General features: G+C 40.9%; 1 protein-coding gene across 1 annotated transcript in view; it reads left to right on the forward strand.

The window, feature by feature from the left end:
- Positions 1-26,173, forward strand: part of CA13 (carbonic anhydrase 13) — a 38,616-nt gene extending 12,443 nt beyond the window's left edge. The window contains exons 3-7 of the mRNA NM_198584.3: positions 1,521-1,639; positions 8,708-8,803; positions 10,002-10,064; positions 10,572-10,727; positions 23,330-26,173. Coding sequence (NP_940986.1) covers positions 1,521-1,639; positions 8,708-8,803; positions 10,002-10,064; positions 10,572-10,727; positions 23,330-23,449 — 554 coding nt within the window. The 3' untranslated portion in view covers positions 23,450-26,173. The remainder of the gene's footprint in view (positions 1-1,520; positions 1,640-8,707; positions 8,804-10,001; positions 10,065-10,571; positions 10,728-23,329) is intronic.
- Positions 26,174-26,787: the final 614 nt, after the last annotated feature.

Genomic DNA, 26,787 nt, shown 5'->3' on the forward strand with positions numbered 1-26,787 from the left:
GGATTACTGGTGTGAACCACCACACCCAGCCAAAAAATATATATATAATATCTCTGTATACAGATATTAAATATCAAATATATAAAATATACTTATATTAAATATATACATATTAAATTTATATAAATATAAATTTATATTTAAATAATAAGATGGGGCCTTGCTATGTTGCCCAGGCTGGTCTTGAACTCCTGGGCTCAAGCGATCCTCCCTCCTTGGCTTCCCAAATTACTGGGATTACAGGTGTGAGCCACCATGCCAGGCCTGTTCATGGAAATTTAATAACGCTTATGGTATATTTAGCTTCCAACGCTTCCTGATTCTCCCATATGCTTTAAACATGCCCAATAAAGATTAATTAGGATGAGACAATTTAGGACTATGTTTTCTATTAAGAAGCTTTTCTATATACTTAAGATATGATTTATTGTCATAGTTTTAGAGATCATATTTACTGAGGAAATTACTCAAATGTACTTTGTCAAAGTGACAAAGATATGACAGATTTTTGAAAAATTATTTTTGTCCTATATTTCACATTTCCCCAAGAATATAGAATTTAAGGACAAAAGGTATGCTTGCTTTGCCTGTTTTTACAGTAAAAAACTGTGTTGATTGTGTTGACTGTGTGTCAGGTAGTAATAAGTGCTTTGTGTTCAATTTTTCTTCTGTTTTAATGACAGCATTAGGAGGAGGTCCCATTACTATCTTGTTTTTACACTTGGAAGATAAAGCTTAGAAGTTAGGGTTTGTTGCCAGGTGTGGTAGCTCATGCCTGTAATCCTAGCACTTTGGGAGGATCGCTTGAGGCCAGGAGTTTGAGACCAGCCTGGATAACATAGTGAGGCCCTGTCTCTACAAAAAAAAAAAAAAAAAAAAAAAAAAAAAGGGCTGAGTGTAGTGGTGCATACCTGTAGTTCTAGCTACTTGGGAGGCTAAAGTGGGAGGATGACTTGAACCCAGAAGTTAGAGGTTGCAGTGAGCCGTGATTGCATCAGCTTAGGCAACAGGGCGAGACCTTGTCTCAAGGAAAAAAAAAAAAGAAGTTAGAGTTTGTTCAAGATCACATAATTAGGAAAAGACAGCATGAGTGTAGGCCTTCTAACTGCTGAAGCCTGTGCTCAAACCACAATGCTGCACTGCTCTACCAAGCTCAAACTGGACCTGTCTGCATGTCACATCCTTATTCAGACAGGCTGACTTATCCTCAGGTAAACACAACCATTCCTTACCTTTCAGAAGTCCTAATTTCTATGCCTTTCTAACCAGTATGTCTGTTACGATTTCCCAGGTGTTCCATAAAAATCTGTATTGTGGATGCTTTAAGCTTTTAAAAATGTTCTATTTTCAATCTACACATATTTAAAAGTGGTATTCTTGTCAGCAAAGCAAATGACACATTTGTAAAAAATTCCTTGGAGGACATGGATGTATGGAGTAATTCAGGGAGATGTTGTGGTTTGAGCAGCTTATGTAAATATTTTTTCCTTGCTAACAATATAAAACATGTTGTTGTTTAGTTCTGCGTGGTGGTCCTCTCACTGGAAGCTACAGGTTACGGCAGGTTCACCTTCACTGGGGGTCCGCTGATGACCACGGCTCCGAGCACATAGTAGATGGAGTGAGCTATGCTGCAGAGGTAAGCCATAAGACATATCTGTGATTCACAGTTTTCCCACATGGTGGAATTTAAGGGGTACAGAGACAACTTTACTGATTCCAAATAGATCCTGAGCCAATTAGGTATCTTAGTGTCTGAAACTGCTTTATTCATTCAATATGAGAGTTTATGAATATGAGAGCTTCAGATGTTGCCCTCCTAAGCGTTAAACCAACCCTGAGAGCTTAGGGTTATATGTTCCCATTTTAGACATAAGTAAACTGGTTGCTGGAGAGATTAAGTAATTTATCCAGCTAGGAAGCATTGAGACAGGTTTAAATCTAGATCTGTCTGATATCAAATTACAAATTGTTTCTATCTACTGAAAGGCCAGTGAGAAGAGAGAGAAAGAAACATTTGTCTTAGTCCAAATGTGGTCATATTTCATCCAGATACAAATATCCACTAATATGTAAAGACCACATTAAATAGGTAATATTTAAATAGGTAAATGGCAAAGTTTCACTGAGGAAAAAAAAAAAGACAAACTCTTCTAAACTCTACTTTATCTCTATATTTACAGGTATAAAATAAAAATCTGTTATTCAGTTTATTGGTAAATCATAACACAATAAAGCATTCATTGAGTTGTTTCTACTCCTTTTTCCTTATAATTGTATTCACTAATAATACTCTGTGCAGGATCTGGATTAAAAAATGCTCTACTTTTTTTAATCCTTTGGTTAAAGAACAAAGCATAATAAGCTTCAAGTTTAATATGATTAAATATTACTAACACCCAACTTTACCATGAGATGAAAGTGAATTATATGACTCAATCAATACTATTCACGTGAAAATAATTTGGTTTCTGAGTCGCCTAGGCAGGACAGAGCTAAGTTATCAGGCAAGTGCAATTTTTCTTCATGTTCTCATGGTTACTGAGCTGTAGAGTTTAGATGCCCTGTATAGCCCTGCTGTTCAGAGAAATCCGACAATCAGAACTTTTTTCCAGTTTCACTCTTCCATTGACATGTACCTCTGCCCTTTCAGGTTTTCATCTGAAATGTTTGCTTTGCCACTAAATCACTTGTGTTTGAGGCCAAGTAGCTTTAGAGTATGGAACCTGCTCTGTCCTCAGGGTAGAGAAATAAAATGTACGTACAAAGTTTTTTATGATGGTGGACAAACTTTGTCTAGAAGGTAGAAAGTGGGACTGCTGAATTTGTATGGTGTCTCAATTTGCATCATTTACCAAATAGTTTTCATGTTTGCTTTCTAAAGTTTTATGTTCTGAATATAACATGTTCTAAATGTCCAAAGCGCCCTCGGAACTAATTATTGGTTGCTTTGGATCACTGGTCTCTCATTTTCCTTACCAACTCAGGAAAATTGGTCAAAATGCTGTGTGTGGTTACACCTTGTACTTTAATAAACTTGAAAGTACTACATACTCAGAGAGGCTTAGGTTTTCTGCCAGCTGGCAAGTAGTTTCCTGAAAAGGGTCCTCCTGACATATGTCAGAGGCTCAGAGTCTTTACCTGCAGATCAAGGGCCATTTTTGTAGACAAAGACTTTTTTGTTGTTGTTGTTCTGCAATAAATAATTATCTTTTATTTATTTATTTATTTTAAAGCAAACCAGTGAAGGAAAGGACCAAAACCTTTGGTTCACTTATGTATTTATAAATGGAAAAAATTTATAATGCAAATTTCACTTATTAAAAAACTTAGGTACAACTTACAACATTACAGATAATTATTTTCCCTTCTTTTGTTTCACATGGAGACCTTGGAGACTCAATTCATGTTAAGACACCTAAGTATGAGTCCTCCAGGTAAATATTACACAAATCAGAAGCATCTTGGAATTTTTAAGTATATTTTAAGACATACATTTTTATGCATGCTTTAAACAAACAGTATTTTATTTATTTTTTTTTTGAGACAGAGTTTTGCTCTTGTTGCCCAGGCTAGAATGCGATGGTGCGATCTTGGCTTACTGCAACCTCTGCCTCCTGGGTTCAAGTGCTTCTCCTGCCTCAGCCACCCGAGTAGCTGGGATTACAGGCATGCGCCACCATGCCTGGCTAATTTTGTATTTTTAGTAGAGACAGGGTTTCTCCATGTTGGTCAGGCTGGTCTCGAACTCCCAACCTCAGGTGATCTGTCTGCCTCGGACTCCCAAAGTGTTAGGATTACAGGCGTGAGCCACCGCGCCCGGCCAGTGTATATATATATATATGTTTGTTTGTTTTTAAATGAGAGAATCTAACAAAGAAACTATGACCAGCACCAGCATTTAAAGATAAAGCTTTGTGGATAAAGCTTGGAATAGATTTTCTTTTTTCTTTCTTTTTCTTTGAGACAGGCTCTCGATCTGTTGCCCAGGCTAGAGTGCCATGGTACAAACATGGCTCACTGTAGCTTTGACCTCCTGGGTTCAAGGGATCCTCCCACCTTAGCCTCCAGAGCAACTGGGACCACAGGTGGGCACCACTACATCTGGCTAATTATTTTTTATAGAGACAGAGTCTGGCCATCTTGCCTAGGCTGGTCTGAAACTCCTTGAATGCATATTAAAGAACAGTATACAATTCCAAGGGTGGGTGCAGTGGCTCATGCCTGTAATCCCAGCACTTTGGGAGGCCAAGGAGGGATGATTGCTTCTTATTTCATTGGCTTATATATTCATTCATTCTTTCACTCAGTAAGAATTCATTGAGAATCAACCATGCTCCTAATCTTTACACAGCTTACTGATGCTTACCCTGAAAGGAGTGCAGCCTCACACATATTTGAGGTCAGAAAATGCTGCCCTGTGGGATAGGCATCCGTTTTAAGTTAAACCTGGTTTAACTTAAAACCTGGTTTGGTTGAAGGGGAGGGAACTAGGTCAAGTGGGGGGACAGCAGTGGTTTTGCATAAAATCATGTGTGAGGATGTGGGTTGGGAAGGAGGCTCATACATTTGAAAAACAGTATGGCCTTTAACAGTGTAGTTGGAGCTTGGAGAATGAAGGGGAGAGTTGTCAGAGGCAAAGTTGGAGAGGCTGGGAAGGGCCTGATCTTACTGAGGTAAGTCCTGGTAAGGTTTATGAAGGTGATTCTAAGTGCAATGGGAAGCCACTGAAAGGCTTTCCATTGGGAAGTGGTGATATTTGCATTTCAAAAATAATTCAACTACTGTTTGAGAATAGATTGGATGGAAGCAGGAGTGGCTAAGGGGAGCTTTGGAGGAAACTTTTGGGGAAAGTTCCAGGCAATAAATGAGAGTGCAGGTAGAGGCTGGCTGGCTGGCAGTGGCAGCTTTAGTGGCATTTGTCGATTGGTGGGTTTGAGAGTGAGGGAGGGCAGGATCCATGTTTCTAGGTTGAGATAGGAAATGCAGATAGAGAAAGTCTGGGTCAAACCTCAGGCTTGGTGGGGTGGGAGAGGTAGACAATAAGCAAATAAATAAATGGTGCATGGTAAGTTCTTTGATGGGAACAATACCATGTGATCTGGTAGAGTGGCTGAGGGCTTAGGAAAAGCTTCTTTGAGGTGATACATGAGTTGAGACTGACTGATAAGAAGAAAGCATTAAGAGAAAAATCTAGAGAGACCTTTCCAGGAAGTGGGAGCAGCAAGCTCAAGTTCTCTAAGGCAGGAGTGAGGCTGGCATGTTCAAGAGGAGAAAGTCATTGGCCTATTAGGATTGGAATTAATGAGAAAGGAAAAGTTATGTGCTCTGTCCTGATGAGGCAGGCAGGGACCATGCCACATCGGGTACTGTTGGGCATTGTAAGCAGTCTGAAGTTTATCTGTAATGCAGTGGGAAGAAGACAATGGAAGGTTTTGATCAGGGGAATGACATGTTCTGCTTTATATTTTACAAAATATAACTAGCTGCTGGGTAGAGAGGAGGCCGCTGTCAGGCAAATGTTGAAGTAGGGAGAAAAACTAGAAGGTTATGGAAGTCATTCAAGTGAGCAGTGACAGTAATTTGGACTCTGGGGGTGGTGGAGACGAAGAGAGCTGGACAAATCTATGATGTTTGGGAGATAAAGTCAATAGGGTTTGCTGATGAAAAGGATGTCATGATTGAAGGAAGGAAAAACAGGAGTTTAGAAACACTCTTAAGGTTTCGATGTAAGCATATTGGAGGCTGGTGGTGCCATTTACTGAAATGTGCAAGTCTGGGAAGGAGCAGGTTGCAGAGAGGAATTCACTCTCTGTTTTAGACAGGTTAAGTTTGAGATGTCTGTTAGGCATTCTAGGCTCATGTTCAAGTAGGCTATTGGATAAAAACTTCCAGTTTAAGAAGAGGTCAAGGCTGGAGATGGGGGCATTTGGGAGTCCTTGCATTTGGTTTCATGTTCAAAAGAACCCCTTTGTGCTCAGCTCCGTGATTCCAAGGAGTTGATTAGTTTTTCCAGCCACTTTTGTACAAAGTTCATGACCATCATCAAGTTACGTTCCCTTGTGAGTAAAAAGGAGAAGTGAAAGAAAGAAAAAAGACATTTAAAGTTGCAACATATACAACTTTAATTTTAGGCCTAATATGATGGTTTATAATATTACAGAGAGATTAAAGTGATCTAAATCAAGAAAAGTTTTATCCCAAAAGTTAGGCGTCTACAAAACTAGGCTAATCGTCCATTCTGTGTTTGGAACTTTATCTAATGAAAGTTTAGGCAGAATATATAGCAAGCATTTTAAATATGTAGCTAATAATGAAACTGATTTCAACATTCATCATGGATTTTTGGCATAGTATTTGGCAGTATATTTTGCATACCACTAATATGGAATTTGAAACTGCTAAATTTTAATAATATTATTTAGAAATTAGTTGCCAGTAGAGAAGAATCTAATTTTCATTTTTGTAGTGGTTACAATTTCTTGTCATTCAGTTCAAATCACTGCTCTTGTCATTGTTAGTCAGGAAATGTGAGTTTGCTTTTTTTTTGTTTTAATTAAAATATAAATGCTAATAGAAGTGGTATCAGTTCCTCTGTGAAGGTATTGCTGCCAGTCTTAAGTAAGGTGTGTAGGAGAGAAAGAAAAATATTTTCTTGGCCTAGTTTCCCATCATAGTTTAAATAGTTGTACTTTTAACTAGCAGAAGGATGGTTATATATAGGATATATATATGTCCATTCATCTCTCTTTAGTTACACATTCATTTTTTAATCAGTTCTGGTTGTGATCCTAACGAAGTCATTCTATATCTTTCTCTGTTTGGTCTCATCTCTTACTGAGAGAACTGGTGCATTGGCACAGAGCCACTTAAAACAATTTTAACATCCTTATCAGCCCTTCCCTGACAGTGAATGTCATCTGTCTCATGTGAGCCAAATGAATTCTGTTTCATCACCCGGTGTTTTCAGGTTTCTTTCCTCCCCCAACTATCTCACACCAACTTGGAACATGGCACTACAGGAATCTACTTTTATATTGCACAGTCTTCCTTGATTGTTTGTGCATGATGCACTGTTTTATAGTTGACTGTTTATGATAATTGTTATCTATCCAGAAATTATCTCCTATAAATTTCCTGTAAGACATATTTATCTCCTATAAATTTCCTGTAAGTTATATTTAAAGGATGGGATAAACATGTATTTGAATATGCTAAATCCTCTCTGTAACAGTCAGCTAGAAAGATGATTTGGGCATGAAGGCTCACATAAGTATTTCCTTCCTGATAAAACAAAAGGGATTCATTAGAAGGAGATCTTGTCTGAAGTCAGTCCCTCATATCAGGTCCTTGGACACCATGGCTTGATCACCATTTATGATTGTAGCTAAATGTTTTAGGCATGTCGCATTGCCCTTTGGCTTCTGTCTCACTTTGTCCTTTTGGGGAAGACTCCCCCAAAGTGGTTTTCTCCTTTATCGTTATTCTGAAATCTTTCACACTTGTGGGTGTGTTCGAGATACCGTATTGCTTGCAATGGTAAAACATTTAGGATACCTTTAGGTGTTGCATAAGGCCGCTGCATATGAGTAGAGTTGTGAGGTGGGTGAAGTCTGTTTTCCAGAGTTCCAGGCCCCCCACCTCCTTCCCTTCCCCCTTGTTTTATCTCCCTCCTTAGTAGCATCAGCTACCCTCCCATTTTCTACCTCTTTTTCCCCCATTGAAACTTGCTCTCAGCAAAGTATCTAAACATATTCATAGAACGTGGTAAATGTATCAAAATGATAAGCATTTTTATGTGCGAGATGACAAATATTTTAATTAGTTTGATTTAATCATTCCACATTTATACATATATTAAAACATTGCATTGTGCCCCATAAATGTATACAGTTATGATTTGCCAATTAAAAATGCTCTTAATAAAAAAGTTTGAATGCTACTTAACATGATTACATGATTACTCATAAGGAGACTTTGTGTTTTCAAGCCATAAATAGTCTTAAAATGACAGGTAGTAAACATTTAACTGGACAGTTTTAGAAACAGCCTCACTGTCCTTGGTAGCGGGATTGTCCTGGAAAACCTACTGTGTCGGAGGTTGACTTCTCCACCCATCTGTGAGCTCAGCCCTCTTCCATGGACTTTACTGCCAGCCGGGATTTGATTTGAGGCTGCTCCATTGCAGTCTCATCTGTGGAAGGCCTGGAGGAGCCTCCAGTTACTTGGGAGCAATAGCTGGAGTTTGTTAGGGCTGAAGGGGCTGTGAAGGATGTTCAAGGCTTTTTTAAAAATTTATTTATTTTCTGATATGAAGTGTCGCTCTGTTGCTCAGGCTGGAGTGTGGTGGCGCAGTCTTAGCTCACTGCAACCTCCACCTCCTGGGTTCAAGTGATTCTCCTGCCTCAGCCTCCCGAGTAGCTGGGACTACAGTCATGTACTACCATGTCCAGCTAGGATGCTCAAGGCATTCTATATAGTCTTTAATATAGTGGACCACAGACTAGTTAAGTGACTGTGATCCTTCACTGCATGAACTTTCACTTTTGGACAAAAATAAACAAGAGGATTCTGTCCAAGATTCTTGTGATAAATACATTATACATAAGTGTACAGCACCAGAAAATTTGTAAATGTTTTATTTGCATTTATGTTTTTCAGGATGTCTAACAAAACATTCCTACTATGTTGTATATCTCCCTTTCAGCTCCATGTTGTTCACTGGAATTCAGACAAATACCCCAGCTTTGTTGAGGCAGCTCATGAACCAGATGGACTGGCTGTCTTGGGAGTGTTTTTACAGGTGAGAATCTACTGTTTTCATTTTAAATGATCAGCCTTGTTGAAGAAAGAGCTTCAGTCACGAAGTAGACATTCAACCATCTTGTTTAATAGTAAATTCATTTTAGGTGTAGCAGTTTCCTTTTGAAATGAATATTTAAAAATTATATATTCATTTAGGAGCATTGTCTTATAAGTCTTCTTATTGTCCATTGATCATTTTTATGTGAATAACAATAGCAGCATCAACATCAAGAATAGTAGCAGAAATAACAACTGAGATACTGGAAGAAAACATTTATTCTGGGCTCTTCCTAATTGTATACTATTTAGGACAGAATAAAGTTCAAGCTCCTGATTCTTGAAACACTGGTCTCACCACAATGACATATTGTCCCAATGTGCTCACTGGTTTTTAAAAAAATTTTATTGTATTTCCTTTAATCTAACGTTCACATGTGGTTAGACAATTATTGTCATCATACCTGGGAACAGGTTGGGCTTCTCACCTCCCTCTGCCTCCACATTCTTGTAGGTGTGCCCCTTTGTCACACCCCATACTCTCCATGTGTTGTAACTCATGAACAGAGAATGCTTCACGGATGGCAACAATTCCTTGCCTTTGGACACCAAGTAGGGGTGGTTGCGGCAGGATCCGGGTGCTTTAAAACCTTCAGGTAGATTCAGATCACCTGTAATAATGAAAAGAGGATCATTTATGTATCTATAATTTATGATGAGTTTGCTTATGATGATATATTCCCTTGATTTGGGACCTCAAATCATTTTAGGCTGCAAGTGTGAGATGTTTGCATCTAGTATTTTGATGCCACCATTGTCCGTTTGAATTGAGGGGCTGACTGTCACATCTAGCTTAGTAGTGCAGGTTATTTGTTAGACTGTCTTATGCAAAGTTTCTCTCAAGTTAACCTACATCTTAAACACTGATAAAACTTAACAAATATTAAGCTGTTTCTATTAGTTTTGGGACTAAGCTGAAAGTTCAGTACAGGAACCCTGTAATATTATCTTGTTGTTCAGATCCTTCTGGCATGATAAGGCTGGCAGGTAAAAGAGAAGCTTTGTTGTAGAACAATCACTGTATGTTCTGTGCTGGCTAAGGTTTTTTTAAAAAATAATTTTTAAATAGTGGCTGAAATTGAGTGATTCAGACTTGATCTGCTACAGTAACCATTTCTTTTGAAATTTCATGTTTTTAGATTGGTGAACCTAATTCCCAACTGCAAAAGATTACTGACACTTTGGATTCCATTAAAGAAAAGGTAAAATGAATTACTGTTAATAATTAACATATTTCTTGTTCTCTCCCACATTCTCTTATCTTCCTTTAAAGACTTAGACATATGCTGCCTGCTTTGAAGTTTGCAACATACTTGATGAAAAAAAGCAGAAGTAACCTATTACCACTTATCTTTTGAATGTAAAGGTCTTAAATTACCTAAAATAAACATGAATAAATATACTTATGCATAATTAGTCTCTGGTATTATATTACAGAGTAAGCCTTTAATTGTAACACATTTAAGGGACCACTTATATGAAAACAAACCTTATGCTTCTTAAATAAATCTATGATATGTTACTTTATCTAAAATTTTTAAGATGTAGATGCTTTTTTAAAGATACTAAAGGAAGATATTACATAATTCTAGATGCAGATATTCTGTATTGTTTATGGAATTATAATGGAAGTACATGGATGTATGTTTTTTGAGGTCTATGTAGAGCTATCCCATTGTAATTTGTGGGAATTCTTTTTGATCCTCCAGGGTAAACAAACTCGATTCACAAATTTTGACCTATTGTCTCTGCTTCCACCATCCTGGGACTACTGGACATATCCTGGTTCTCTTACAGTTCCACCTCTTCTTGAGAGTGTCACATGGATTGTTTTAAAGCAACCTATAAACATCAGCTCTCAACAGGTACATAATCTCTTCCAGGTTGATACTGATTCCCTCAGAGGAAACTGGGCTTTTTTTTTTTTTTTTTCAACCCTGCCCTTAATTTCTACTGTGTTTTGAAGTCTGTTTTCTCTTTATTCATCAGACGGGTCGTTGGGCTAGATGAGACCTATGTCCCTTTCGTATTTGACCTGTGATTAGATGATTTATTTGCCACTTCTTAGAAATGTACATAGCGACACTGATGAAAGTAAAGCATCATTTTGAGCACTATAATCATTTGCTTTTGGTTTGTTGCTGTTTGTTTGATATGGGGATATAAACAGGCTGAGATAAAAATGAAAAATGGGGATATAAACAGGCTGAGATACAAACAAAAAAATCAGAGAGCGGCTACTTATAGAAGGTGACATTTTTCTTTCTGACCTTAGTCCCCACACCTGCTTCTACAAATTTCCAAGTGAAACTTGAGGACAGTGATTGGTGCAGTGCCCTAAGAAATGTGTGCCTGCTAAGTGTAAGAAGTTGTTGTTTTGTACACTTAAAAGGTAGTTAAGTGGGTAGGCTGGGCACAGTGGATCCTGCCTGTAATCTCAGCACTTTGGGAGGCTGAGGTGGGTGGATCGCTTGAGCCCTGGAGTTGGAGACCAGCCTGGGCAACACTGTAAAACCTTGTCTCTACAAAAAATACAAAAAGTAGCCAGGTGTGGTGTGCATGCCTATAGTCCCAGCTACTCAAGGGGTTGAGGTGGGAGGATTGCTTGAACCCAAGAGGCTGATGCTGCAGTGAGTCAGGATCATGCCGCTGCATTCCAGAGCAAGACTTTGTCTCAAAAAAAATTTTTTTTGTTAAGAGGGTGGATCTCATTTAAGTGTTCTTACTATAATTATAAGAAGAGGAAAGAGAGAGAAAGGGGAGGGGAATGAGAGGGAGAGGAGGAATTGTTGATCTTTTGGCATTTGTTGACAAAAACTTTTGTTGGGCTGTCTGAGGGGCTTAATGCTTAAGCATTTGCAGAGAGGCTGTAGGGAGGTTCTTTCTGTGTAGACATCTACTCACTCATTCTTCTGTTAAATACTTATGGAGCTTCCCCTGTAGGCCAAGAGTCTGCTAGACTCAGGATATCCAGTTTGTCAGCCAGGCTGGTGTGGAGTCGGTGCAACCATACCTCACTCCAACCTTGAACTCCTGGGCTCAAGCCATTCATCTTCCTGTCTCAGCCTCCCATGTAGCTGGAATTACAGGTGCATGCCACCATGCCTGGCTTATTTTTTTTTTGAAAAATTTTGTGTAGACAGGGTCTTGCATTATTGCCCTGGCTGGTCTTGAAGTGATCCACTTCTGGCCTTAAATGATCCTCCTGCTTCGGCCTCCCAAAGTGCTAGGATTACAGGCATGAGCCACTGCACCTAGCCAGTATATCCAGTCTTTAATGTTCAGAAACTGTGCTTGAGGTGTGAACCATGGGGCTGGCCAATCTGATGGGTGGATGCTGTGTGTTCTTGGATGCTGTGCTTCTTCATTGGTTTTGTTTTTGTTGTTCTTTTTGCATTAGGTGCAATATCTTAGCAAGAACACAGTCTAGTAATTTTTGCAGCTAATAAAGTACACATGTACTGGGCTTGCCCACCTGCCTACCTGTTTATTTTTCCTCCTAATGATACCAGAGCTGGCCCACCTTTACCGAGATCATTTCAGGCAGCATTTCCCCTTGGGGCATTGAACACATCCTTCCTTCTGTTGGGTGTTTCTCCTTGTTGACCTTGTCTTTAGGATTAAAGGCAAATAATAACCTAGTGTATACTTTTTAAAAACATTTTACAAAGGTCTATGTAGAAATCCAGAGCTTGACTGACATGAAAACTCCTGTGAATTTTTTCTATCATTGTATCATGAGAAAAATGACCTGTTACTGATTCAGAGTCCTTAATAAGGGAATTCATTTTTCTCCCTGTCACATGCTAAATGGTTTACTTTTACATTTCTTTATTAAATTTGAACTGAATAATATTAAGAGTGAATAAACTATAACATCAAGGTAGTTAATAAGGGAATCCTGTTTTCCCTCATATTTCAAGGACACTGTTATTTCTTAAAGCCACTTGGAAAATAACTTTTTGTTTAGTTTCGTTTTTTGTTTTCAATCCACCAGTGATTTGGAAGAGAATATATCAAAATATATAGTTTAGTTCCTTAAAAATAAAGTTAACCTTATTAAAAATATCTACCTGCAAGTTTAGGAATTGTGACTGCCTAGCTGAGGATTCACTACTTTGTCTTATTTGAGGCTCAATGGATTACTATTATTAATGTGGCTTTTATGCAGAGCAGTATATAAAATAATAGCTATGTTTTAGAGCTCTGATGTGATTGTTAATTCACTTTGGAGCATTCACTTAAATCTCCTATAGTAGGAACACTTTCACGTATTTTAGTTTTTAACCAAATTGAGAAAGTTATTTGAGTAACAATTCAATTTATTAAAATCTGATATTGTGGTGGTTTTAAAAGTTAAAGAATAAAGCAAAAGAAAAAAAATTCAGTCCCAGTCTAACCATGAAAAAATATCTGGCAAAACCCAGTCAGGGGACATTCTATAAACTAGTCAGTATTCTCAAGGTTGTTAAAACTGCCAAGTTCATCAAAAACAAGGTAAGTCTGAGATACTGTCACAATCAACAAATGCCTATGGAGATATGAATACTAAGTGTAGTGTTTTCCGGATTTTTTCCTAGGGTTTTCTCCACAATTTCTTGCCAAGTCACAGTTTGACCTAAGGGGCAAATCAGATGTTTTTCATTTTCTTTTTCTTGATTTAAGTCCATTTTTCTCTTTCAGAGTCACTCATTGAGGACTAAATTCTTAACTGCCATGCCAGTGAGCAGATAAATGTACTATTTTCTGATCCTTTTGAAGACAAGTCTGTCATTTTCTCTGGAGGGACAACTTCTCTTGCCAAGTCTCTTTGGGTTATCCTAAATCATCAAAATTGGGTTACTTAGCTGAAATTCAATGTGCAAAATACTTGGCTTTGTTTCTATTCTCCTTTTAAAGAAAAAAACTCTTTTTTGTTTATTATATTTGCATGCAGTGAAACTCATGAATTTTAAGTGTGTGGTTGCTGATTTTGGTAACTGTATATAGACATGCTACAACTACTACAATCAAGATATAGTTCTCAACCACTGTGGTGGCTCACACCTCTAATCCTAGCATTTTGGGAGGCCAAGGCGGATGGATCACCTAAGGTCTGGAGTTCGAGACCAGCCTGGTCAACATGGTAAAACCCCATCTCTACTAAAAATACAAAAATTAGCCACGCATGGTGGTGCATGCCTGTAATCCCAGCTACTCAGGAGGCCGAGGCAGGAGAATCACTTGAACCCGGGAGGCAAGGCTGAAGTGAGCCCATATTGCGCCGCTGTACTCCAGCCTGGGTAACAGAGCAAGACTCTATCTCAAAATAAATAAATAAAAGATAGAGATCTCAGCCAAAAATTTTCTGGTGCTCTTTTGCAGTCCTTCACCTTCTTCACCATAGTCCTAGGCAACAACTGATGTGCTGTCACTAGAATTTAAATGAGTCATACAGTAGATTTTTGTGTTTGAGTTCTTTTAATGGTATAATCTTTTTAAGATTCACCCATTTTATTTTATTTTTTTCCTGAGACAGAGTCTGGCTCTGTTGCCCAGGCTGGAGTGGAGTGGCGAGATCTTGGCTCACCACAACCTCTGCCTCCCAGGTTCAAGTGATTCTGCTGCCTCAGCCTCCTGAGTAGCTGGAACTACAGGCATGCATCACCACGCCTGGCCAATTTTTGTATTTTTAGTAGAGATGGGGTTTCACCATGTTGGCTGGGCTGGTCTTGAACTCCTGGCCTCAAGTGATCTACCCATCTTAGCCTCCCAAAGTGCTGGGATTACAGGTAGTGACCCATGGTACCTGACCCATTTCATTAACTTTTATTACTGTGTAATATTCCATGGTATGGATATATTATATTTTTAAAAAATATATTTCACAGTTGATGGACATTTGGCTTGCTTTTAATTTTTGGCCATTATGAATAATAGCAATCCATATATGGATATTAGGAGTAATTTGCTCACTTTTGTGTGGACACATTTTTATGTCTTGTGTCAATACCTAGGACTAGAATTACTAGTTCATGTTTGTTTAATTTTGTAAAGTACTATTACATTGTTTCCTTTTCTTTTCTTTTTGTTTCTGAAGGAGTCTCGCTTTGTTGCCCAGGCTGGAGTGCAGTGGTGTGATCTTGGTTCACTGTAACCACCACCTCCCGGGTTCAAGAGATTCTCCTGCCTCAGCCTCCTGAGTAGCTGGGATTACAGGCACTTGCCACCACACCCAGCTAATTTTTGTATTTTTAGTAGAGACAGGGTTTCATCATGTTAGCCAGGCTGGTCTCAAACTCCCGACTTCAAGTGATTTGCCCGCCTTGGCCTCCCAAAATCCTGGGATTACAGGCATGAGCCACTGTGCCCAGCTGAGTAAAGTACTACTATATTGTTTTCTAAAGTGGCTGTGTCATATTAAATTCCCACCAGCAACGTATGAGATTTCTAGTTGCTTCATACCCCTGCAAGCATTTGGCATTGTCAGTTTTTCTAACTTTAGGTATTCTAGTGGGCATGTGTGATTTTAATTTGCATTTATCTAGTGACCAATGATTTTGAACATTTTTTGTATGCTTATTGGCTATGTATGTATCTCCTTTTGTTAAGTATCTGTTCAAATCATCTGTACATTTTTACATTGGGTTGTTTGCAAGAGTTCTTTATATAGTCTGGATAACAGCTCTTTCTCAGGCTGGGCGCAGTGGCTCACTCCTGTAATCCCACTGAAAGATTCTCCCCGGGGCCTGAAAGCTTAAGGGAATGAATAACTTTTCCCTCCTCAGGCCCAGTCCCAAGGCGCAAGGCCACTTGCTCCAGCAGCGTGCGTCAGGCAAGATAGCAGAAGCAGGAAGAGAGCTGGCCAGAAGACACATACCCCCTGAAGACCGAGAGGGAGGCCATCCGGGTACTATGTAGCAGTCAGATCAGACTGGGACACTTCCTGTTTACAGAGGACTGTAAAACCCCTGCCCCATCCTCACTTGGGGCTGACGCCATAGGCCTCAGCCTGTCTGCCCCCAGGGATGCAAGGCTCTTGTATTGGTTCGAACCCCAAGAGTGCGCCGACAGACAACACGAGGTGGTGTGGAGCAACACGCTGTTTTAACGAGTGCCTGGGTGCAGACGGGCTGAGGTCTAAAATGGCATCAGCCCCAAGTGAGGACAGGGCAGGCAGGCGTTTTATAGTCTCCTGTAAACAAGAAGTGTCTCAGTCTGATGTAACTGCTGCATAGTACCCGGACGGCCTCCGTCTCGGTCTTCAGGGGGTATGTGTCTTCCGGCCAGCTCTCTTCCTGCTTCTGCTATCTTGCTGACACACACTGCTGGTGCCAGTGGCCTTGTGCCTTGGGACTGAGCCTGAGGAGGGAGGAGTTATTCACCCCCTGCCCAGCTTTCAGGTCCCGGGGAGAATCTTTCATTCCTATTTGGTTATAGAAAAAAGGAAAAGGGATGACTTTCTCAATAACTACTTCAGGCGTGACATAGGGGTGGCGTGAGCACCTTGGAAAAAGAAAAACTTAATTTTTTGGGGTATTCTTGAGAGACGGGTTTGTATCCATCATGTCGCTGTAGCAGGAGCACCGTCTGGATTTTTTGGTGGCTAGTGGGATAACACAGGGGAGAAACAGGAGGAACCCAATGATGAAGATTACTGTCCCTACCAGTATTTTAAATCCTCCTAAATTAGAGAACCACCCTCCTAGAAGGTTTGTTGGGTCCCATCCCTTCCAGGTTTGGACTGATACATGGGCTACTTTTCTGATGTTTGAAGCGATTTCTAGAACCGCTTTTCCGTTATCGTCTATGTTAAGACAGCAATTAGCGATATTAAACTTACCATAGACCCCACCTTCTTCTGCTAATAAGTAGTCTAGTGGTAGCCTGTTTTGAAAAATTGCCGCAAGCATTTGGTTTTGTTGCGAGAGCATTTCTAGGGCTGAGGCGGTTTGGTTAGTGATTATCTTTAGAACAGCTGGTAGTCTAATTGTTCTATTTAGCCTATATGTGGAAGTGCAATAACCCCATGAACCATCCTCAGCCCAAGTGGCAGGACCGTAATATTCGATGATGTGTTGCAGACGCCACTCGTCCTCTTGCCATCTTTGGCTCCCTTCTACCTCCAAGGATCGTTTTTCTCTGGTTAGGTTATCATACACAGGGACTCCGAGGGTGTTGCCTGCCTGCTTTGAAAGTAAAAAGAATCCAGCTTTAATTGTGCCTAGGAAGCAAGTACCTTGCCAGGGATAAGGTAGCCATGAGTATGCCTGGGTTTCACATATCCAAAGGAATCCATCAGGGGCAGTCCATTGGAGGCTGGTGTTCATAGGATTGTCCCACAGTGCACTTAGGCTGGGGTATGCGGCATAAGGGTTGTGGTGTTTGTACAGTATCAGGCCTTTTTTGACAAGACATAATTGAGGTAGCTTAAGTTAGAAGGAGACCAAGCTCCGTGGGGTAATTTTGGCCACCCCTCTGCTGTGGAGGCATTGACTGTTAGGGTTTGGTGACAGGGGCTTTCACCTAGGCATGATGAGTTTTATCATTCCACTTGCGGGATATGCACACCGTCCCTGTTACTGGAAGTGTGCAGGACTGTGGGCATTCCTGAGGAGTGAAAGTGAGGCTGGAGTTTTGGGATGCTAGTAAGTAAGGGGGAATGTCTATCCCCTACCATGGCCACTGTTGACTCATACGGGCTCCCCTGCATACCTGGCAATTGGACACATTCATGGTAAGGGCGATGCGTTCTCCTAGATCTACAAACAGGTTTTTTCCTGCCTTGGGAAGCGATACGTCTGCTTGTAGTTTTGTATAAAGGGATGGAAATGCCACGGGTGATTTTGGAGGGGAGTTGTTGGCTTTTGTTTTGGCTATAATCTGTTCTCTCTTTGTATCCTCTAGCACTTGAGTTTTTACTCCCCATTGTCCAATTGTGGTGAAGCAAAGCCACTGCTTACCTTTTGGACAAATAGTCCCATTACGACTACCGGATACTCCTAGATTTTTTACTTTATATTAACTTTTCCCCGATTCAACACATTCCTCGATCAAGGTTCCATAACAGGATTTTTCTATATAAGTATGGTAAGTAAAGGATTGTTGTATTTTTCCTCCGTAGTGGAAAGACTGATAATGAGAGGTGACAGCGTGCTGGCAGTCCTCGCAGCCCTTGCTCGCTCTCAGCGCCTCCTCTGCCTGGGCTCCCACTTTGGCGGCACTTGAGGAGCCCTTCAGCCCGCCGCTGCACTGTGGGGGCCCCTTTCTGGGCTGGCCAAGGCCGGAGCCGGCTCCCTCAGGTTGCTGGGAGGTGTGGAGGGAGAGGCGTGGGCGGGAAGTGGGGCTGCGGGCGGTGCTTGCGGGCCAGCACGAGTTCCGGGTGGGCGTGGGCTCGGTGGGTCCCGCACTCGGAGCGGCGGGCCGGCCCCGCGGACCCCGGGCAGTTAGGGGCTTAGCACCTGGGCCAGCAGCTGCTGTGCTCAATTTCTCGCCCGGCCTTAGCTGCCTTCCTCCCCCCGGGGCAGGGCTCGGGACCTGCAGCCCGCCATGCTTGAGCCTCCCCCCAACCTCCGTGGGCTCCTGTGCGGCCCGAGCTTCCCCAAACGATCGCTGCCCCCTGCTCCACGGTGCCCAGTCACATCGACCACCCAAGGGCCGAGGAGTGCGGGCGCATGGCGCTGGGACTGGCAGGCAGCTCCACCTGCAGCCCTGGTGCGAGATCCACTGGGTGAAGCCAGCTGGGCTCCTGAGTCTGGTGAGGACTTGGAGAGCCTTTATGTCTAGCTAAGGGATTGTAACTATTCCAATCGGCACTCTGTATCTAGCTCAAGGTTTGTAAACACACCAATCAGCACCCTGTGTCTAGCTCAGGGTTTATGAATGCACCAATGGACACTCTGTATGTAGCTACTCTGGTGGGGACTTGGAGAACCTTTATGTCTAGCTAAGGGATTGTAAATACACCAATCAGCACTCTGTATCTAGCTCAAGGTTTGTAAACACACCAATCAGCACCCTTTGTTTAGCTCAGGGTTTGTGAATGCACCAGTCGACACTCTGTATCTAGCTACTCTGGTGGGGACTTGGAGAACCTTTATGTCTAGCTAAGGGATTGTAAATACACCAATCGGCACTCTTTATCTAGCTCAAGGTTTGTAAACACACCAATCAGCACCCTGTGTCTAGCTCAGGGTTTGTGAATGCACCAATCGACACTCTGTATCTAGCTAATCTGGTGGGGACCTGGAGAACCTTTGTGTCTAGCTCAGGGATTGTAAACGCACCAATCAGCGCCCTGTCAAAATAGACCACTCGGCTCTCTGTAAAATGGACCAATCAGCAGGATGTGGGTGGGGCCAGATAAGAGAAGAAAAGCAGGCTGCGGGAGCCAGCAGTGGCAACCCACTGAGGTCTTCTTCCACACCGTGGAAGCTCTGTTCTTTCCCTCTTTGCAATAAATCTTGCTGCTGCTCACTCTTTGGGTCCACACTGCGTTTATGAGCTGCAACACTCACTGCAAAGGTCTGCAGCTTCACTCCTGAAGCCAGCGAGACCACGAACCCACCGGGAGGAGCGAACAACTCCAGACATGCGCGGCCTTAAGAGCTGTAACACTCACCGGGAAGCTCTGCAGCTTCACTCCTGAGCCAGCGAGACCATGAACCCACCAGAAGGAGGAAACTCTGAGCACATCCTAGCATCAGAAGGAACAAACTCCGGACATGCTGCGTTTAAGTACTGTAACACTCACCGCGAGGGTCCACAGCTTCATTCTTGAAGTCAGTGAGACCAAGAACCCACCAATTCCGGACACAATAACACTCAAAACAGCTCAGAGGGGCTGCTGTGGACAGTAGGGCGGGTACTGATACCAGATGCAACGCTCTTGTATCACTTCGAACCCTGAGAGCGCGCCAACAGCACACGAGGTGGTGTGGAGCAACAAGAGGTTTTAATGAGCGCCTGGGTGCAGACGGGCTGAGGCCTAAAATGGCATCAGCCGGAAGTGAGGACGGGGCAGGGGTTTTATAGTTCTCTGTAAACAGGAAGTGTCCCAGTCTGACGTGACTGCTGCGTAGTACCTGGACGGCCTCCCTCTCAGTCTTCAGAGGGTATGTGTCTCCCAGCCAGCTCTCTTCCTGCTTATGCTATCTTGCTGACGCACGCTGCTGGAGCAAGTGGCCTTGCACCTTGGGACTGGGCCTGAGGAGGGAGGAAGTTATTCATTCCCTTAAACTTTCAGGCCCCGGGGGAGAATCTTTCACCCAGCATTTTGAAAGGCTGAGGCGGGAGGATCACTTGAGGCCAGGAGTTCAAGACCAGTCTGGCCAACATAGCGAAACCCTGTCTTCACTTAAAAAAAAAAAAATTAGCTGGGCGTGGTGTCCCCTGCCTATATATAACCTCAGCTACTCCGGAGGCTGAGGCATGAGAATTGCTTGAACCCAGGAGGCGGAGGTTGCAGTGAGTCGAGATTATGCCACTGCAATCCAGCCTGGGTGACAGAGCAAGACTCTATCTCAAAAAAAAAAAAAAAAAAAAAAAGTGAATCCTTGGGCCTTATTAGAAATTCCAATTCACAAGTTTGGGGTAGGGTCCAGGGATCTGAATTTTTAAGAATTAACTCAAAGTATTTTCATTCAGGTGCTTTGGGACCACCCCTCCCAAAACTGGCTTAGAGTGAGACATGCGTGTGGACATAATAGATCCATCTAGGAAGGTTAGTTAGAACTGAGTGGACAAGGGGCTTGGAAGCCATGCTGACACATTTGTTTTGGGCACCTACCAAAATGTTAGAAATGTGATGTATTATAGGGATGTATTTGGAAATGTTTCCACTAAAATGATACGATGTTGGGAATTTGCTTAAAAATAGCCTAGTTTGGGTAGGATGGCAAATGGAAAGAGAGCTTTGGTCGGAGAATGGATGGAAAAATTGGCTGTGTGTTGAAGCTAGGTCATGGATGCCTGGTGATTTATGATGTTGCTTTTTCTACCTTTGTGTACTTTTGAACATTTACATAATAAAAAGTAAATTAAAAGGATAGGGGAAAATAAGTAAACAGAAAACAAGTTTCTCTGTGGTTAGTGCATGGCTTGTCAAGATGGCTTATTTATTGAAACTTCTCAGCTACCCCTCAAGTTTCTCATCTGTAAAAGGGGATAATTATGTATTATTGACAGGGGTATTTTGACTGAGGTAATGGAGAGCACTTAACACAGTGCCTAGTCCATTATGTTCCATAACAGAACTTATTTTTATTATTACTCAATTTTGGCAGGCAGTGGAGTGCTATCAAAGAGGTTTGAGCATGAGAGTGGCATAAAGCTGTTTACAGAACCATAGAAGAGTATTTTAGCTTATTGGAGTTGCTACACAATGAAATTAAAATTTCAGTATTAGAGTCAAGGAAACCAGCAAAACAGGTCATACCTGCTTCAGCCTCAAGGCTGAACTGGGAACATTTCTACTGGGAACCTGTAGGTACTGAATCAGCCTTAGTGACAGAGGAGCAGCTTTGCTGCTTGAATAAAGCCTGGAACCACATAAGGGGATAAGACTGGTGGGAACCAGCCAGGGATGTGCATTTTAAGGCCAGGGCAGTAGTGGAGGACACCCAGAGCCAACAGAAACAAATCTGAATGGGGACTGGCAAATACAGGGTCGACCTAGCTGGGCCAAATGATTGTGAGACCCAGTTATAAGGGGAAGGGGTTTGGCGAGATACCAGGACAGGTCTAGGGACTCTTACCAAAATACACAGGCTGGTCGGAGAAAGAGCTGAAGTCAGATCCAATTCTAGACTGGTGAGCTGAAAGTGCTGCTGGGACAGGGAGCCATGATCAAGTTCCAGAGGGGTTGAACTACCAGAGGGGCAGGAGCTAGGGTTGTGGGAGAAAAATAAAGCCAACGTCTTCAGAAGAATCAGCGGTATCACTGTGGAGGCAGGTTGCTTGATGAGGCCTGTGGACCCATGCTGTAATTCAGGACTCAGAATTCCTGCACAGCCATCTGGAATGACCACTCCAGACAGACCTGGATTGTTATGATCTGCAGAAGGCTAGGTATCTTTCCTATGGTCTCAGAGGTTAGATTTTATTAGTCTCTGCTATTTGACTTGACCAGAGATTCTCTTCAGCCTCATGTGGTTTTAGCTATAATGATCTGGTCTAATGAAACATGAGTAATAGTACGTTGTAAACATTTGTCTCCTTCCCATATCTGTACTTAAAAAAAAAACAAAAACCTCAAAATGGCCGGGTGCAGTGGCTCCCGCCTGTAATTCCAGCACTTTAGGAGGCTGAGGAGGGCGGATCATGAGGTCAAGAGATCAAGACCATCCTGGCCAACATGGTGAAACCCCATCTCTACTAAAAATACAAAAATTAGCTGGGTGCGGTGGCACGTGCCTGTAGTCCCAGCTACTTAGGAGGCTGAGGCAGGAGAATTGCTTGAACCTGGGAGGTGGAGGTTGCAGTGAGCCGAGATTCTGCCATTGCACTCTAGCCTGGTGACACAGCAAGACTCTGTCTCAAAAAACAAACAAATAAAACCCTCAAAATATCACATGTGGAAAACATGGTTGCTTGTATGTATGATGGTTGATCCTATTGCCATAGAGCATGGTTATAAACTGTTGCCTATTTCTTATAAAGGACCTCTCTCTCCTCTGCCCCCGTCCTGGTTAGTACTGTACAAGAAACATTTTAGGCATCAGGTATTTGATGAAAACCTAAAGGATGTGAATTTGGTTGACTCTGAGATTAGATGGTTAACAAAATTTAGAGAATGTAGGTTCTCATTCCTAATAATTTGTCTTCATCAAAGTAAAACAAAATAAACACCAAAGATTTTCTTTTATTAATTGACAGTATAATTTTGGTGCATATTTTTGAGAAGATAAAATTAGTTTTAATTTTTCCAACTTCACTTTAGACCTGTACTAAATCTTAATAAGTGATATTAAACCACCAAGGGATTGTTAAAAATTTATAAAACATATTTATAATAGAAAAGTTTTCAGCAACAAAAAATAGTGATGTAGGTTGATATGTATTGGCATGCAAAGATGGCTAGGATATATACTAAGTGAAAAAATTAGGTTTCAAAACAGCATATATAGTTGAGTTCATTTTTGTCATAAAATGTATGTATGTATGTGTGTTTATAGATTGAAAAACATTGAAAAACATTCTCTGATTTCTAAATATTTACTCTTTAAACCACACTCTAGATGTTTCCTCTTGTTGGCCAGGCTGGTCTCAAATTAAAAATGCTTATACATTTAATTTTGGAACCTGTAGGTATTTGTACAGTGATGAGAATTTAGCAAAAGAGTTGCTTTATTATATATGACATGTAACAGAAAATTTTCATTGCAGTATTTTTTGTTCCTGGTTATAGATATATCTTCTTTATGCAGGGTAATTCATTAATATTGGTGGGAATTTCTATGCTGAAGCTAACTCTTTTCTTCTTCTACAGCTGGCCAAATTTCGCAGTCTCCTGTGCACAGCGGAGGGTGAAGCAGCAGCTTTTCTGGTGAGCAATCACCGCCCACCACAGCCTCTAAAGGGCCGCAAAGTGAGAGCCTCTTTCCATTAAAAATTGTCACCAATGAACTCCCCCAAACATGGCTGTGGAGAGACAACAAAACAAAACAAAGCACAAAAGTCTCTGCCAACAACTCTTTTGTGGAATTCTAATTTATAGGAAACATTTTAGTATGAGCTTCAGTGTCACAAAGAAAACCAGATCTCTCTCTCTTTTTTTTTTATTTTTTTTAGTGATAGAGTCTCACTCTGTCACCCAGGCTGGAGGGCAGTGGTACAGTCTTGGCTAATTGCAGCCTCCAACTCCTGGACTCAAGTGATCCTCCCACCTCAGCCTCCAGAGTAAGTAGGACCACAGGCATGCACAAGCATGCCTGGCTAATTTTTAAATTTTTTTTTTTTAAGAAATAGGGTCTTGCTATGTTGCCCAGGCTGGTCTCAAGCTCCTGCCCTAAAGTAGGCCTCCTGCCTTTGCCTCTCAAAGTGCTGGGATTTCAGGCATGGGTCATCAAGCCCAGCTGACCCAGAGCTCTTTACTAACTTATCTGTCTCTTATTTGCACTCATGGATATTCACAGTAAGCATTGTTTGACATATATTAAAACCCATGAAATATGTCTACTTCAACCTGTGTGAAAATATAGTTAACATTGCAAACTTTAGAATGTATTAAAAATTTTACCTTGCCATAGAGACTGAATTAGTCACAGCTCTCAGTGATGTTAGATGGAAACTTATATCTCAAATGATAGGATTGTGATGCTTTTTTTGTAACAAGTGATTCTGCTTAATATTTTGTTATTCCAGTTCATAAAAAGTAGATTACGTTTTCCTATAAGGATAATTTTTGCAGTGATTATATTGCTAACTCTCATTGCATGATACCTTTAATAAAATGAACAATATAAGAGTTAAGGGCAATGGGATAAAGCTACTTAATGTGTCTCCTCCACTGATCAAAAATATTCCATATAGTCTTGGTGAGGAATTCCCCAGGATATAAATGGCTATTTACACTGTAATGAATTATACCATATATGATATTCACTCAGTAATGTTAATAATGAACTGGCTAATAATTGACAAGATGCAGTGCCTGCCAGTTTATGACATTAACTTGGTTTGAAACTAACATATGACATAGTACCAGTGCAGTCAGAGCTGCCCTTAGGCATGATGAACATGTGGCCCGTTTTTGCCTGGTGTTTTGGCAGCAAAGCAGGAAGCAATTTTGTGTGGGTCATTGTTCTGTCAATTTGTGGAAAAAATTACTTCAGTCTCATATAAATATAGAATGGGTCCATAAACCCTTCAACTCATTTCCATGGCAAAACTCACTTTTCTTTTTATACATGTCCTTCAGTCTCTTAATTTTGTCAGGTGGAGCTTGATCTTAATTTTAACCTATTATCTTTTATTTTTGTTTGTTTTTGGTGAAGGATAAGAGTGGTGTTTCTTTTGCCCTTTCTGGTACAAACAGAGGGACACTAAGCATTAACTTAATAATCACATTTAAGACTTGAACACATGCTACCCTTTTGTCATCTTCTGACATAAGTTTACCTGAGTTTCCTTGATTTGGAAGATTTGTTTCTTTTATCTCTCTTCCTCTGGATGTAGTTTTTTTTTGTTTTTTTTTTGTTTTTGGACGGAGTCTTAGTCTGTCACTGAGGCTGGAGTACAGTGGCACGATCTTGGCTCACTGCAACCTCCATCTCCCGGGTTCAAATGATTCTCCTGCCTCAGCCTCTTGAGTGGCTGGGATTACAGGCACATGCCACCACACCCGGCTAATTTTTGTATTTTTAGTAGAGATGGGTTTTGCAATGTTGGCCAGGCTGGTCTCAAACTCCTGACCTCAAGTGATCTGCCTGCCTCGGCCTCTCAAATTGCTGGAATTACAGTTGTGAGCCACCACACCTGGCTTGAATGTAGATTTTAATAATTGAATTTATTCTGCCGTGTTGATAGAATAACTGAATATCAGTAAATTGTGTAACAGTGGTGGATACTGTTGCATAAGATGAGCTCCTGAAGAGTGAAGCTAATTCTTTGGTCAATGTTCTTTTCCCCTCAGTGTCTAGTTTAAGGCTTTTAGAAGATTGATCTGTAGCAATTATTTAATGAATTGAATATTTAAAAAATTTTTTATTTGCTGTCTTTGGTAATTATCTCTCTGCTTGAAATTAAATGCACTATAAGTTAATATAACAAGTAAAATACATTGTCTTTTGAAAATAGTTTCTTTTTAAAGGAATACTAATTAATTGTAACTTGTAAAACCAAAAGTTCTAATGGTTTTTAAAAACCAGTGTTGAGTGGAAAAGTGTTTCTTTAGTTTGGAAAGACCTGTGAAGTATCCTAGTCAGGGAAAGAACCTGTTTTCTGGAAGAATGTAAGTTGCTATATGTGGAGGGGCATGTAGGACAGGGGTTCTAATTACTGTCTGTGAGAGTTACTACTTTGTAACTTATGGTTTCTGCTTCAGTATTGTGTTGGTTCTGTATTATAAATTGCACCTTAATAGACCAAAAATATCTATACAGCACTGATTTCCTTGAATATTGTGTGTTAATTGATATATCTTCTAGAGGCAAAAGGTTTAAATGTGTTAAAATGGTTATATTGCCTCCTTTTTAAACAAATTAAAGAGTTGTAAATACTAGTGTAGATCTCTTTTGTTTACCACAGCAAATACTGATTTTATGATTGTTAAGCATTTCATATTTTAATTTAAATTGGATTCAACCACAATAAAGAAAATGAGAAAAGCTTTCAACTGTGTCAGGGCCATGTATGCGCATTACGCACAATGAGATTGCATTTTACACTTCTTCTTTACTTTTTTTTTTGAGACAGGGTCTCCCTCTGTCACCCAGGCTAGAATGCAGTGGCATGATCTTGGCTCACTGCAGCCTTGATCTTCTGGGCTCAAACAATCCTCCCAACTGAGCCTCCCTAGTTAACCGGGACTACAGGTGTGAGCCACTACACCTGGCCAATTTTTGTATTTTTTGTAGAGACAAAATCTCTCACTATGTTGCTCAGGCTGGCCTTGAACTTCTGGCTCAAGTGATTCTCTTGACCCAGCCTCCCAAAGTGCTGGGAAGACAGGTATAAGCCACTACACCCAGCCACATTTTACACTTTTAATTTAGAAAATAATTTCAAACTCAGAGAAAAAATACACAGTACAAAAAAACTGTTTTTCCCCTTGAATTGTTTGAAAGTAATTTGCCAGTCTGATTCCTCATCATTTCACAACCTTTAGTGTGTATTTCCTACAAGCTGGGACATTGTCCTACATAATCATAATACAGCTGAAACAACCATGAGATTAGCATGGCTTTATTATTAACCACCCAATCCATTCAAGAATAACTTGTCCAT

The sequence above is a fragment of the Homo sapiens genome, chromosome 8, assembly GCF_000001405.40.
Source record: "Homo sapiens chromosome 8, GRCh38.p14 Primary Assembly".
Lineage (NCBI taxonomy): Eukaryota > Metazoa > Chordata > Mammalia > Primates > Hominidae > Homo > Homo sapiens.